Source organism: Homo sapiens, chromosome 7, assembly GCF_000001405.40.
Source record: "Homo sapiens chromosome 7, GRCh38.p14 Primary Assembly".
NCBI lineage: Eukaryota > Metazoa > Chordata > Mammalia > Primates > Hominidae > Homo > Homo sapiens.
In genome coordinates this window covers 48,729,644-48,742,503 of record NC_000007.14, presented here as the reverse complement: position 1 = coordinate 48,742,503, position 12,860 = coordinate 48,729,644, and the positions used below count along the sequence as shown (strand labels likewise).

General features: G+C 39.1%; 1 annotated feature.

Moving 5' to 3' along the window:
* Positions 4,616–4,857: a silencer, noted in NCBI's record as "fragment chr7:48777243-48777484 (GRCh37/hg19 assembly coordinates)". NCBI's record gives its function as "represses an EF-1alpha promoter that drives an FKBP-Casp9 reporter gene in an ReSE screen in K562 erythroleukemia cells {active_cell/tissue: K562}" and the evidence as "EXISTENCE:reporter gene assay evidence [ECO:0000049][PMID:32094911]".

The following is a 12,860-nucleotide window of genomic DNA, read 5'->3' as shown; positions in this document are numbered from 1 at the left end:
ACATCAGTTCTCATATATTTGTTGGCATAAAGATTCTGCTGAGTTTTTGAAAACAGACCTTCATTTATGCTAATGTTGGAAACCCTGGGAAACAGGACTTGGGTGTTTGTCTTCACATCATTTTTATTAGTTTTTTCTCACAGCAGTCTTGTCAATAGGATTACAATTCTCCTCTGCACTCTGTCAACACCCTCAAGTACAAGTGCTGAATTGAGAAAATACGCCCAGTTAATCCAGCCCCCAGGCACTTTTGCCTCAATTATTTGTAGGCTTTACTAGAAACAGTGATTTGGATGCAAATGTGTGCACTGATGCCTGGAATTCTCCAATTTATAAGCAGTCCATGGCCCCTCTTATGAAACTCTTCTTATCTTACCTCTCACTGTAGTAATTTTAGTCTTTGTCTTTGATTATTTTAAGAGCTAGAAAGTATTTTCTGGACTCATAAAAACTTCCTAGTCTCTGGCACAGAGTAGATGCTCAATCAGTGTTATTTGACAGAATGAATAAGCAACAAAGACCAAATGAATTAAAATTTCAGAGAGGGATGTCTTTCTAAGAGAAACTGACATTCTCTAGCCAGGTCTTCCCTAGGGCATCTGCTGATTCTGGCACAGGTAAGGGCCACACTTGGCCAACACAGAGAGTCTCTGCTGGAGAAATGTTACCCAACAAAAATCCACTCACACAGTGATGGAGTGGGGCACTGGGAATCCAAGAGGCCACAAACACATGTCTGTAAAGAAAACTTGCTGAGTTGTGGGGCCGTACTGGAGGTGGGGAGCTGATCAGAGGCCCTAAAATGGGAAGTAAAATCTTTGTGTTTAGGAAAGAGGAAGAGACAATTTCCCCAAAACACCCAGACAATTTCTCCTTCAAGATTTTTGTCAAAATTCTCTAAGGAAATTTAAATAAAAGCATACAGAAGTGAATATAAATTTGTTTATTATAGTGCTTTTTCTGATACAAAAAACTTGAACAGTATATCGATGTGTAGCAATAAGAGATCAGTTATATATGGTATATCTATAAAATTCTCCAGCTATTCCAAATAAAGCAAAATATAGTTGAATGAAATGTTGAAGGGCAGCATGAAACTAATAATCTCATTTTCAAAAACTAAAACAAGTTATCATTTAATAGAAAATATATGCTAAATATTCAATTCTAGCAAAGGAAAAATGAGCAAACCTAAATATATTACATTCAAAACATTTGCAAGAGAAAATGTGTAAATAACAGAATTTATAAATTTAAGAGCTAGGACATTTAAAGGCATAGTAACAAATAAGATTCCATGCACTTTACAATCAAGAAGGAAAGAAAGACAGCATTATATTAGAAAATAGGAGCATGCAGTATATTTTGAAAGAAAATAGATGACATCCTATAAAATGCTATGCAAATGACTTTGAACTGGCACAGAAGAAATAAAAACTTTCATGGGGAAAAAATACTGAAAATAATTGGAAAACTTGTGTTGTGGGGTTTTTTTTTTTTTTAATCTTAAGAACAGCTTTCAAGCATTGTACACTCATTTTGATTTTATAAATACATGTTTTTTCACATTGATCATTGTTTGCAATGTAAAAAGTTTCAGACCAAAGAAAAAAGTAATTTTCTCAGTAAATGATGTTATACTAACAACAATATTATACAAAACTCTGACCCACAAAAATACCTCTGATAGGTCAATTTCACTTATGAGTATAAGTAACAGAAGACTGTAACAAACAGGAGATTAATAAAATTTCAGAGAAGGTCATCTTTCTGAGTTGCTATGGTAAAGAGAATAGTCCACCCCATCAAATTTCTACATTTTAATCCCCAGAACCTATGAACATGTTATCTTATGTAGCAAAAGGGACTTGCAGATTTGCTTTAATTAAAGGCTTCAGGATGAGGAGATCAGCCTGAATTATCAGGGTGGACACAACGTAACCACAAAGATCCTTGCAAGGCAGAGGCAGGAGAGATTTGCTGATGGAAGCAGAGGTTGGGAGATACTTGGAATGTACTTGGAAACCCCAAGGAACTAATTCTCCCCAGAGCCTCCAGAAGAAACATATAGACCCCTTTAGAAAATTGATACAGAGGCTAAAATCAGAATTTAACATTTGCAAATCATGTAGTATACATTTTAGGCCAATTCTTTAGAAGCAAACAGTAAAACAAAGATTCTTGGGCAAGTGAGTTATTCAGGAAGTGCTCCCAGGAAAAAAATGAGCAAGAGAGGAAGGAAAAAAGAAATGGAAAGATTAAAACATTCAAGAGTAAGGAAAATTTTAGGCTGAGTCCCAGGCAGGAAAGGTTAGGCTAGATCCTACAGGCAGATGCTGGAGTATAAGTGATATCTGAGAGTTTGTCCCAAGACTGGGCAAGGAGCTGGGTTTTCACACTCTTTGACAAGTTAGTCACTGGCTCTGGGTTGCTCATGTGAATATAAAATTGCAGGTACTTCTGCTTCCTTTGTGTCCACAAAGTAGCTCCAGGAGGTTCTAGTAGTCCAAGAGCAGGTCTCCAAAACAAGTCCCAGGCAAAGGATCTTTGGAAGCAAAAGCAAATAGTAATGAAGGGAGGTGTGAACAGAACTTTCAGGTGGGAGCCAGAGACCTGTGCAGAGTAAGAGCAGTGTCCACAATGCACATAGGCTTGTGTATTGGTCTGTTCTCATGCTGCTATAAAGAACTGTCCATGACTGGTTAATTTATAAAGGAGAGGGATTTAATTGACTCACAGTTCTGCATGGCTGGGGAGGCCTCAGGAAACTTACAATAATGGTGGAAGAGAAAGCAAATATATTCTTCTTCACAAGGTGGCAGGAGAGAGAAATGCCAAGCAAAGCCAGAAAAGCCCCTTATAAAACCATCAGATCTTGTGAGAATCCATTCACTATCACAAGAACAGCATGGGGGTAACTGCCTCCATGATTTAATTACCTCCCACCAGGTCCCTCCCAGGACATCTGGGGATTATGGGAACTATAATTCAAGATGAGATTTGGTGGGGGACACAGCCAAACCACATCATTCCACTCCTAGCCCCTTCTAAATCTCATGACCTCACATTTCAAAACATAATGATGCCTTTCCAACAGTCCCCCAAAGTCTTAGCTCCTTCCAGCATTAACCCAAATATCCAAGTCCAAAGTCTCATCCAAGACAAGGCAAGTCCCTTATGTCTATGATCCTGAAAAATTAAAAGCAAGTTAGTCATTATACTTGCTAGATACAACGGGGATACAGGCATTAGGTAAATACACCTTTTCCAAGAGAAGAAATTGGCCAAAAAAAAGGGACTTCAGGCCCAATGCAAGTCTGAAATCCAATAGGGCAATCATTAAATCTTAAATTTCCAAAATGACCTCCTTTGACTCCATGTCTCACATCCAGGTCATGCTGATGCAAGAGGTGGGCTCCCACAGCCTTAGGCAGCTCTGCCCCTGTGGCTTTGCAGGATACAGCCCCCATCACAGCTGCTTTCTTGGGCTGGTGTTGAGTGCCTGCAGCTTTTCCAGGTGCACAGTGCAAGCTGTCAGTGGATGTACCATTCTGGGGTCTGGAGGACGGTGGCCCTCTTCTCACAGCTCCACTGGGCAGTTCCCCAGGGGGGATGCTGTGTGGGGGCTCCAACCTCACATTTCCCTCCTGCACTGCCCTAGCAGAGGTTCTCCATGAGGGCTCCACCCCTGTAGTAAACTTCTGCCTGGACATCCAGGCTTTTCCAAACATCCTCTGAAATCTAGGTGGAGGCTCCCAAACCTCAATTCTTAACTTCTGTGCACCTGCAGACCCGAAACCATGTAAACACCCCTGAGGCTTGGGGCTTTTACCCTCTGAAGCAATGGTCTGAGGTGTATCTTGGCCCCTTTTAGCCATGGCTGGCGCTGAAACAGCTGGGACACAGGGCACCATGTCCCAAGACTGCACAGAGCAGGGGGCCCTGAGCTGAGCCCAGGAAACCATTTTTCCCTCCTTGGCCTCTGAATCAATGATGGGAGGAGCTGCCATGAAGGTCTCTGATGTACCCTGGAGACATTTTCCCCATTGTCTTGGTGATTAACATTTGGCTGCTCATTACTTATGCAAATTTATGCAGCCTGCTTCAATTTCTCCCCAGAACATGGGTTTTTCTTTCCAATAGCATTGTTAGGCTGCAAATTTTTCAAACTTTTATGTTCTGCTTCCTCTTGAATGCTTTACCACTTAGAAATTCCTTATGCCAGATATTCTAAAGCATCTCTCTCAAGTTCAGAGTTCCATAGATCTCTAGGGAAGGGGAAAAATGACACCAGTCTCTTTGCTAATGCATAGCAAGAGTCATCTTCACTCCAGTTTCCAAAAAGTTCCTTATCTCCACCTGAGACTACCTCAGCCTGGACTTCTTTGTCCATATCACTATCAGCATTTTGGTCAAAATCATTCAATAAGTCTCTACAAAGGTCCAGACTTTCCCATATTTTCCCATCTTCTTCAGCACCCTCCAAACCATTACACCTCTGCATATTACCGAGTTCCAAAGTGTATCCTTAAAGAAGCACCCCACTCTCTGTGGTACCAATTTAGTGTATTAGTCTGCTCTCACACTGCTATGAAGAAATACCTGAAACTGGGTAATTTATAAAGAAAAGAAGTTTAATTGGCTCACAGTTTTGCATGGCTTGGGAGGCCTCAGGAAACTTACAATCATGGCAGAAGGGTAAGCAAACACATCTTTCTTTACATGGCAGCAGGAGAGAAAGTGTTGAGCAAAGGAGGAAAAGATCCTTATACAACCATCAGATCTCATGAGAACTCACTATCACAAGAACAGCATGGGGATAACCGCCCCCATGATTCAATTACCTCCCATGGGGTCCCTCCCATGACATGTGGGGATCATGAGAACTAAAATTTAAGATGAGATCTGGGTGGAGACACAGCCAAACCATATCAGCATGTATTATGCTTTGATCATTTAGGGTATAATTGGAGAACTCCCCAATACTTTTAAATTAAGATATCTATTAATATGAACTAATGAATCAATAATTGGCAAAGGAAAATAAATACCATAATCATTTTATTGGTTCTGTAAAGGCATACATTCTCTCCTCTTGAAATTTCTTGGTAAAGCACATCAATTTCAAAATCCATATTCAGGTTCAATCTTTACATTTTTTTCTCCCACAGACCTTTCTGTCCACCCTGGACTGCCTGCACAAGTATTCTTGCAGACGTGCACTTTTGAGGGAGAAGCAAATAGGTACACCAAAAGAATTCTAACAAAATAATAACAGAAATTTATTTGCTATTTAGGAACATTTTTGTACTAAAATAAATGTCAGAAATTCTTTTAGGCAAACATGTAATAGCCAAATTGATTTATACTCCATAAATAGTGGCATTATATATTATTTTAAAAAACAAAATAAATATCTGCACTGTGTAAAAATAATAGCCAAGGAGTATGGGAAAGAATGTGGTATATGAAGACAGAATGCCTAGATTCAGTGTTTCTCTCTGCTGTCTCATATTTGCATGATATTAAGTTGTTTAATTTCCCTGGGCCTTAGTTTTTTTTGTTTGTTTGTTTTTTGTCTTGTTTTGTTTTATTTATTTATTTATTTTTTTGAGATGGAGTCTCACTCTGTCTCCCAGGCTGGAGTGCAGTGGCGCAATCTTGGCTCACTGCAAGCTCTGCCTGCCGGGTTCACACCATTCTCCTGCCTCAGCCTCCCAAGTAGCTGGGACTACAGGCACCCGCCACCACGCCCAGCTAATTATTTTGTATTTTTAGTAGAGACAGGGTTTCACCATGTTAGCCAGGATGGTCTCGATCTCCTGACCTCGTAATCCACCCGTCTCTGCCTCCCAAAGTGCTGGGATTACAGGCATGAGCCACCGCACCCGGCCAGGCCTTAGTTTTTTATTGGCACACTCACAAATTTATTTGTTGAATAAATGTATTATTGCATGTCCCCCATAAGCCTAGCCCCCAGATAGGCAAGAGGGCCCATAGAGATGTAAACCTCAGATGATCTCAAATCCTTCTGCTGTTCTAACACCAGTCATTTTCATAAGACATTGTTATTGAACACCTGTTTACATTTTGTCACATGGTTTACCTCCTTGACTTTTCTGTATTGACAATTGTCTAGTTCTTGGTCATAAAAGAAGTATTGAGAAGCTGAGTATAGACAGCATCATTATGATGACCATTAAAGCAACTGGATTTCAAAATAGACGTGTGTGTGTGTGTGTGTGTGTGTGTGCACGTGCGTGTGTGTCTGTGTGTGTGGTATGGTGTGTGTTTGATCAAAGGCACAAATTTGCTAAAGCAATCTTGGAAAAGGTCTCTAAAGCTTTGCCACACTATTAAATGCAAATAAAAGAAAACTAGAAAAGTGCGATTTCTTTCCTCTATCATGGATTGTTATTATTGTGATTTAAGTTATATTTAAGTTAGCAATATTTTCTTCAAAGCAGCATTGAGGAAACATGTCCCATTTTATTAGAAATATTGGAGAAAAAGTCCTCTAAAAGTAATTGCCCATTCTGTGTCATGCTGTCTCAACCTTTTCGTTTTGCTCTATTAGTAACTGGTTTTTAATTTAAGAGTTATCTTTCTGTGTGAAAACTAGAGAGAGCCAACATTATGGGGCTAGTCCCAAGGGTTTCCTTTAGTGCTCCCTTCTTGTCAACAATAGGGCTCAACTTCAAAACTAGAATCTCCTAATTGATTTAAAAACAACTACTTTTCAGTTGGACATTCTAGAGGAAAAAACAATGATTGTGTTTCTCTTTTTAAAAATTGTTTTACTACACAGACCACTTTAAACGCTGGGGAAAAAAGAAAACACTGGTTTTCATTATGAGACAAACAAGATCACTGGGGAAGTTACTTCTCTGTGCCTCAGCTCTTGTCCATAAAACAGAGACAATAACAGCAATGACCTCATAGAGTTGTTATAAGAATTAAATTAGTGTGTGTAGTGCGTAGAACAATGCCAGCTACACAATAAGTGTTACATATTTGTTAAATTAAAAAGTGATGCATATATTTGTTTTTAATTCATGTTGTGCTGCTGTAACAGAAGACCTGACACTGGGTAATTTATAATAAAACAGATTTATTTCTTATAGTTCTGAAGGTCAGGAAGTCCAATGTCAGGGAGCCCACATCTTGTGAGGGACTTCTGGCTGTGTCATCCGATGATAAAAGGGCAAAAAGAGAGCAAAACAACCAACTGGCAGTCTCAAGCTCTTTTACAATGGGCATAAATTCATTCATGAGGGTGAAGCCCTTATGATCCAAACACTTTCCACTTAGCTCCACCTCCCAACACTGTTTCACCGGGGATTCAATTTCTAACACATGATTGTTAGAAGACATACTCAAACTATGGCAATGCTATTCTTTAAAATTCTATTATTGAAAGCCTATGGCTTACTAGAGAGAAGGGAGACCCCTTTATCTTACCCCTGGAATACTTAAATGTAGGGTAAAGTCTAATATATACATTCACTTAATCATTTAAGCCAATAGCAACAATTAAGGTCCCTGCCTCAAAGAAACAGGATGATGTCACTACAGAACTTGCAATGACACAGGCAACGCCTGCACAATAAATGCTGGGAAGATCTCTACAGCCTAGGGGAAGGAGGAGTGGAGGATATGTCACAGACATTCTGGCTTCCACCTTAAAGGGGAAATAGCGTGTCAGATTAAGAAACTGAGAATGTATCTTTCAGTCAAAATCAAGAGAGGATGTGACATATGAAATACATAAAGTAAGGCAAGGGCTCTTGTTGCTTCAGCAGGAGGGAACAAAAACAGGAAAGGTTTCAAAGCCATACTGAGGAGGTTTTTCTTTATGACATGAAAACAATAAGGGCTATGTGTATTACCATCTAGTTAATGAGGGTCTTACGTTTTGTGTTCTCTGTGTTTTCTTTTTCCCAGCTGACAACACACCATGCACTTGAAATCCTTCTCCTTTTAAAAAACGAAAAGCAAGGATTCCAAATTCTAAGGCACCTAAATAGCATCTCTACTATAATTTTAAGACATATAGAATGTTGGAGCCTTCAACTTTAGAATCCACCAATTCATTTATAGATGAAAGAAGCTGTCCTAAAGAGGTTAAGAAAATTGTTCAAATTCACCCAGCAATGAGTCTCAGAGCCATGACCACAAACTTGGCCCTTAAAAATACCTGTTATAATGTATAGCTTCCCAAAATAGGGATCCCCACACCACTTTCTAGAGTCTTGCATATGGATTATTCAAATAATGAGCATCTATCTACCATCAGTTCTGTAAAGACGCTGATCTTCACTCTGTGGACTGCAGTGCTTTCTATTCTAAGGTGACAGCTCTTTGGAGAGCCCATAAATGTAGATTTATAATCCAAGGGACCACTGTTCATAAAATAAAAGCTCCTTAAGGTAATAAATTAAATGTTTTGTTCTACGCTTCCAGTTTACCACATACTCACCTCTAGTTTTGCTGACTTCATTCATCAATCATTAGAAATACTATTATCTCCTCCCAGTAACTGAATAACTCAGCAGTACATTATATTTGTTTCTTCAATTCTGATGATATAATCTGTTACCAGTAAACTTAGAATAAAATTAGAAAGTGCAATCACCATGTACTGGGCTTCTTATCATTATCTCTGAGACTATGGAATGGAAGTTGCCTTTTCTAAAAAAAGGCAATTATGTCAACTGACAGAACTAGAAAAAAATTCAACAGTGGAACTTCTGAAATATGACTTCTATATGTGGGAAAAATATGAAGATTATACAAAGCACTGGAGGTAGGCATAATTCTCAGAAGACCCCATGATTCTTGCCCCCCCAACCCCTCAATGTATATACACCCTACATAATCCTCCCCACCTTGAATGTGGGCAAGATCTTTGAATAAAAGATCATTCCTTCTATTTGGGAATGATTAGAATAAAAGTTCATTCCTTGTATTTAGGTTATGTACCATGGCAAAGGTGGAGAAATTTTTCAGATGTAGTGTAAGGTCCCAAATAAATTGATTTTTAGTTAATCAAGTGGGAAATTATCCTGAATGAATCTGACAATCAGTTGAAAAGCCCTACAAGAGACTAGGTCCGTGTTGAAGAGAAGCACTTTTGCTGGCCTTGAAGAAGACATCGTGAGTTCCATAGCTGCGAGAAAAATTAATTCTGCAAACAACCTGAGGAAGCTTAGAAGGGGCTCTTTCCTCAGTCAAACTGATGATGAGACTGCAGCCCAAACAACACTTTGACTGCAGTCTTGTTTGATGCTGAGCAGAAGATCCAGCTAAGCCATGCACAGATTCTGCTACACTAAAACTGTGAGATGAGTGTATGTTGTTTCAACCCATTAATTTTTTACGCAGCTACAGAAAAAAATGAATACAGTAGTCAAGGAGATGCATGCTTACTGAGAAAAGACATTGACCTGGTATAGAAAATGTCACTTCCAATTTGGTTTATCCTTTACACTGCAAGTTTTAAGGAAAAAAAATCAACATGCTGGTCATTTGTTTTTTTTGTTTGTTTGTTTGTTTTTTTAATTATACTTCAAGTTTTAGGGTACAAGTGCACAACGTGCAGGTTTGTTACATATGTACACATGTGCCATGTTGGTGTGCTGCACCCATTAACTCGTCATTTAACATTAGGTATATCTCCTAATGCTATCCCCCCCTCTCCCCTCACCCCACAACAGGCCCCGGTGTGTGATGTTCCCCTTCCTGTGTCCATGTGTTCTCATTGTTCAATCCCCTCCTATGAGTGAGAACATGCGGTGTTTGTTTTTTTGTCCTTGCGATAGTTTGCTGAGAATGATGGTTTCCAGCTTCATCCATGTCCCTACAAACGACGTGAACTCATCATTTTTTACGGCTGCATAGTATTCCATGGTGTATATGTGCCACATTTTCTTAATCCAGTCTATCATTGTTGGACATTTGGGTTGGTTCCAAGTCTTTGCTGTTGTGAATAGTGCCACAGTAAACATATGTGTGCATGTGCCTCTATAGCAGCATGATTTATAATACTTTGGGTATATACCCAGTAATGGGATTGCTGAGTCAAATGGTATTTCTAGTTCTAGATCCCTGAGGAATTGCCACACTGACTTCCACAATAGTTGAACTAGTTTACAGTCCCACCAACAGTGTAAAAGTGTTCCTATTTCTCCACATCCTCTCCAGCACCTGTTGTTTCCTGACTTTTTAATGATCGCCATTCTAACTGGTGTGAGATGGTATCTCATTGTGGTTTTGATTTGCATTTCTCTGATGACCAGTGATGATGAGCATTTTTTCATGTGTCTTTTGGCTGCATAAATGTCTTCCTTTGAGAAGTGTCTGTTCATATCCTTCACCCACTTGTTGATGGGGTTGTTTGTCTTTTTCTTGTAAATCTGTTTGAGTTCATTGTAGAATCTGGATATTAGCCCTTTGTCAGATGAGTAGATTGCAAAACTTTTCTCCCATTCTGTAGGTTGCCTGTTCACTCTGATGGTAGTTTCTTTTGCTGTGCAGAAGCTCTTTAGTTTAATTAGATCGATTTTGTCAATTTTCGCTTTTGTCGCCATTGCTTTTGGTGTTTTAGACATGAAGTCCTTGCCCATGCCTATGTCCTGAATGGTATTGCCTAGGTTTTCTTCTAGGCTTTTTATGGTTTTAGGTCTAACATTTAAGTCTTTAATCCATTTTGAATTAATTTTTGTATAAGATATAAGGAAGGGATTCAGTTTCAGCTTTCTACATATGGCTAGCCAGTTTTCCCAGCACCATTATTAAATAGGGAATTCTTTCCCCATTTCTTGTTTTTGTCAGGTTTGTCAAAGATCAGATGGTTGTAGATATGCGGCATTATTTCTGAGGGCTCTGTTCTGTTCCATTGATCTATATCTCTGTTTTGGTACCAGTACCATGCTGTGGTGGTTGCTGTAGCCTTGTAGTATAGTTTGAAGTCAGGTAGCGTGATGCCTCCAGCTTTGTTCTTTTGGCTTAGGATTGACTTGGCGATGTGGGCTCTTTTTTGGTTCCATATTGAACTTTAAAGTAGTTTTTTCCAGTTCTGTGAAGAAAGTCATGGGTACCTTGATGGGGATGGCATTGAATCTATAAATTACCTTGGGCAGTATGGCCATTTTCACAATATTGATTCTTCCTACCCATGAGCATGGAATATTCTTCCATTTGTTTATATCCTCTTTTATTTCATCGTGCAGTGGTTTGTAGTTCTCCTTGAAGAGATCTTTATGTCGCTTGTAAGTTGGATTTCTAGGTATTTTATTCTCTTTGAGGCAATTGTGAATGGGAGTTCACTCATGATTTGGCTCTGTGTTTGTCTGTTATTGGCGTATAAGAATGCTTGTGATTTTTGCACATTGATTTTGTATCCTGAGACTTTGCTGAAGTTGCTTATCAGCTTAAGGAGATTTTGGGCTGAGATGATGGAGTTTTCTAGATATGCAATCATGTCATCTACAAACAGGGACAATTTGACTTCCTCTTTTCCTAATTGAATACCCTTTATTTCCTTCTCCTGCCTGATTGCCCTAGCCAGAACTTCCAACACAAGGTTGGAAGGAGTGGTGAGAGAGGTCATCCCTGTCTCCTGCCAGTTTTCAAAGGGAATGCTTCCAGTTTTTGCCCACCCAGTATGATATTGGCTGTGGGTTTGTCATAGATAGCTTGTTATTTTGAGATACATCCCATCAATACCTAATTTATTGAGAGTTTTTAGCATGAAGTGCTGTTGAATTTTGTCAAAGGCCTTTTCTGCATCTATTGAGATAATCATATGGTTTTTGTCGTTGGTTCTGTTTATATGCTGGATTACATTTATTGATTTGCGTATGTTGAACAAGCCTTGCATCCCAGGGATGAAGCCCACTTGATCATGGTGGATAAGCTTTCTGATGTGCTGCTGGATTCGGTTTGCCAGTATTTTATTGAAGATTTTTGCATCGATGTTCATCAGGCCTATTGGTCTAAAATTCTCTTTTTTTGTTGTGTCTCTGCCAGGCTTCGGTATCAGGATGATGCTGGCCTCATAAAATGAGTTAGGGAGGATTCCCTCTTTTTCTATTGATTGGAATAGTTTCAGAAGGAATGGTACCAGCTCCTACTTGTACCTCTGGTAGAATTCGGCTGTGAATCCATCTGGTCCTGGACTTTTTTTGGGTGGTAGGCTATTAATTATTGCCTCAATTTCAGAGCCTGTTATTGGTCTATTCAGAGATTCAACTTCTTCCTGGTTTAGTCTTGGGAGAGTGTATGTGTCGAGGAATTTATCCATTTCTTCTAGATTTTCTAGTTTATTTGCACAGAGGTGTTTATAGTACTCTCTGATGGTAGTTTGTATTTCTGTGGGATCGGTGTATTTCTGTGATATGCCCTTTATCATTTTTTATTGCATCTATTTGATTCTTCTCTCTTTTCTTCTTTATTAGTCTTGCTAGTGGTCTATCAATTTTGTTGATCTTTTTCAAAAAACCAGCTCCTGGATTCATTAATTTTTTGAAGGGTTTTTTGTGTCTCTATTTCCTTTAGTTCTGCTCTGATCTTAGTTATTTCTTGCCTTCTGCTAGCTTTTGAATGTGTTTGCTCTTGCTTCTCTAGTTCTTTTAATTGTGATGTTAGGGTGTCAGTTTTAGATCATTCTTGCTTTCTCTTGTGGGCATTTAATGCTATAAATTTCCCTCTACACACTGCTTTGAATGTGTCCCAGAGATTCTGGTATGTTGTGTCTTTGTTCTCATTGGTTTCAAAGAACATCTTTATTTCTGCCTTCATTTCGTTATGTACCCAGTAGTCATTCAGGAGCAGGTTGTTCAGTTTCCATGTAGTTGAGT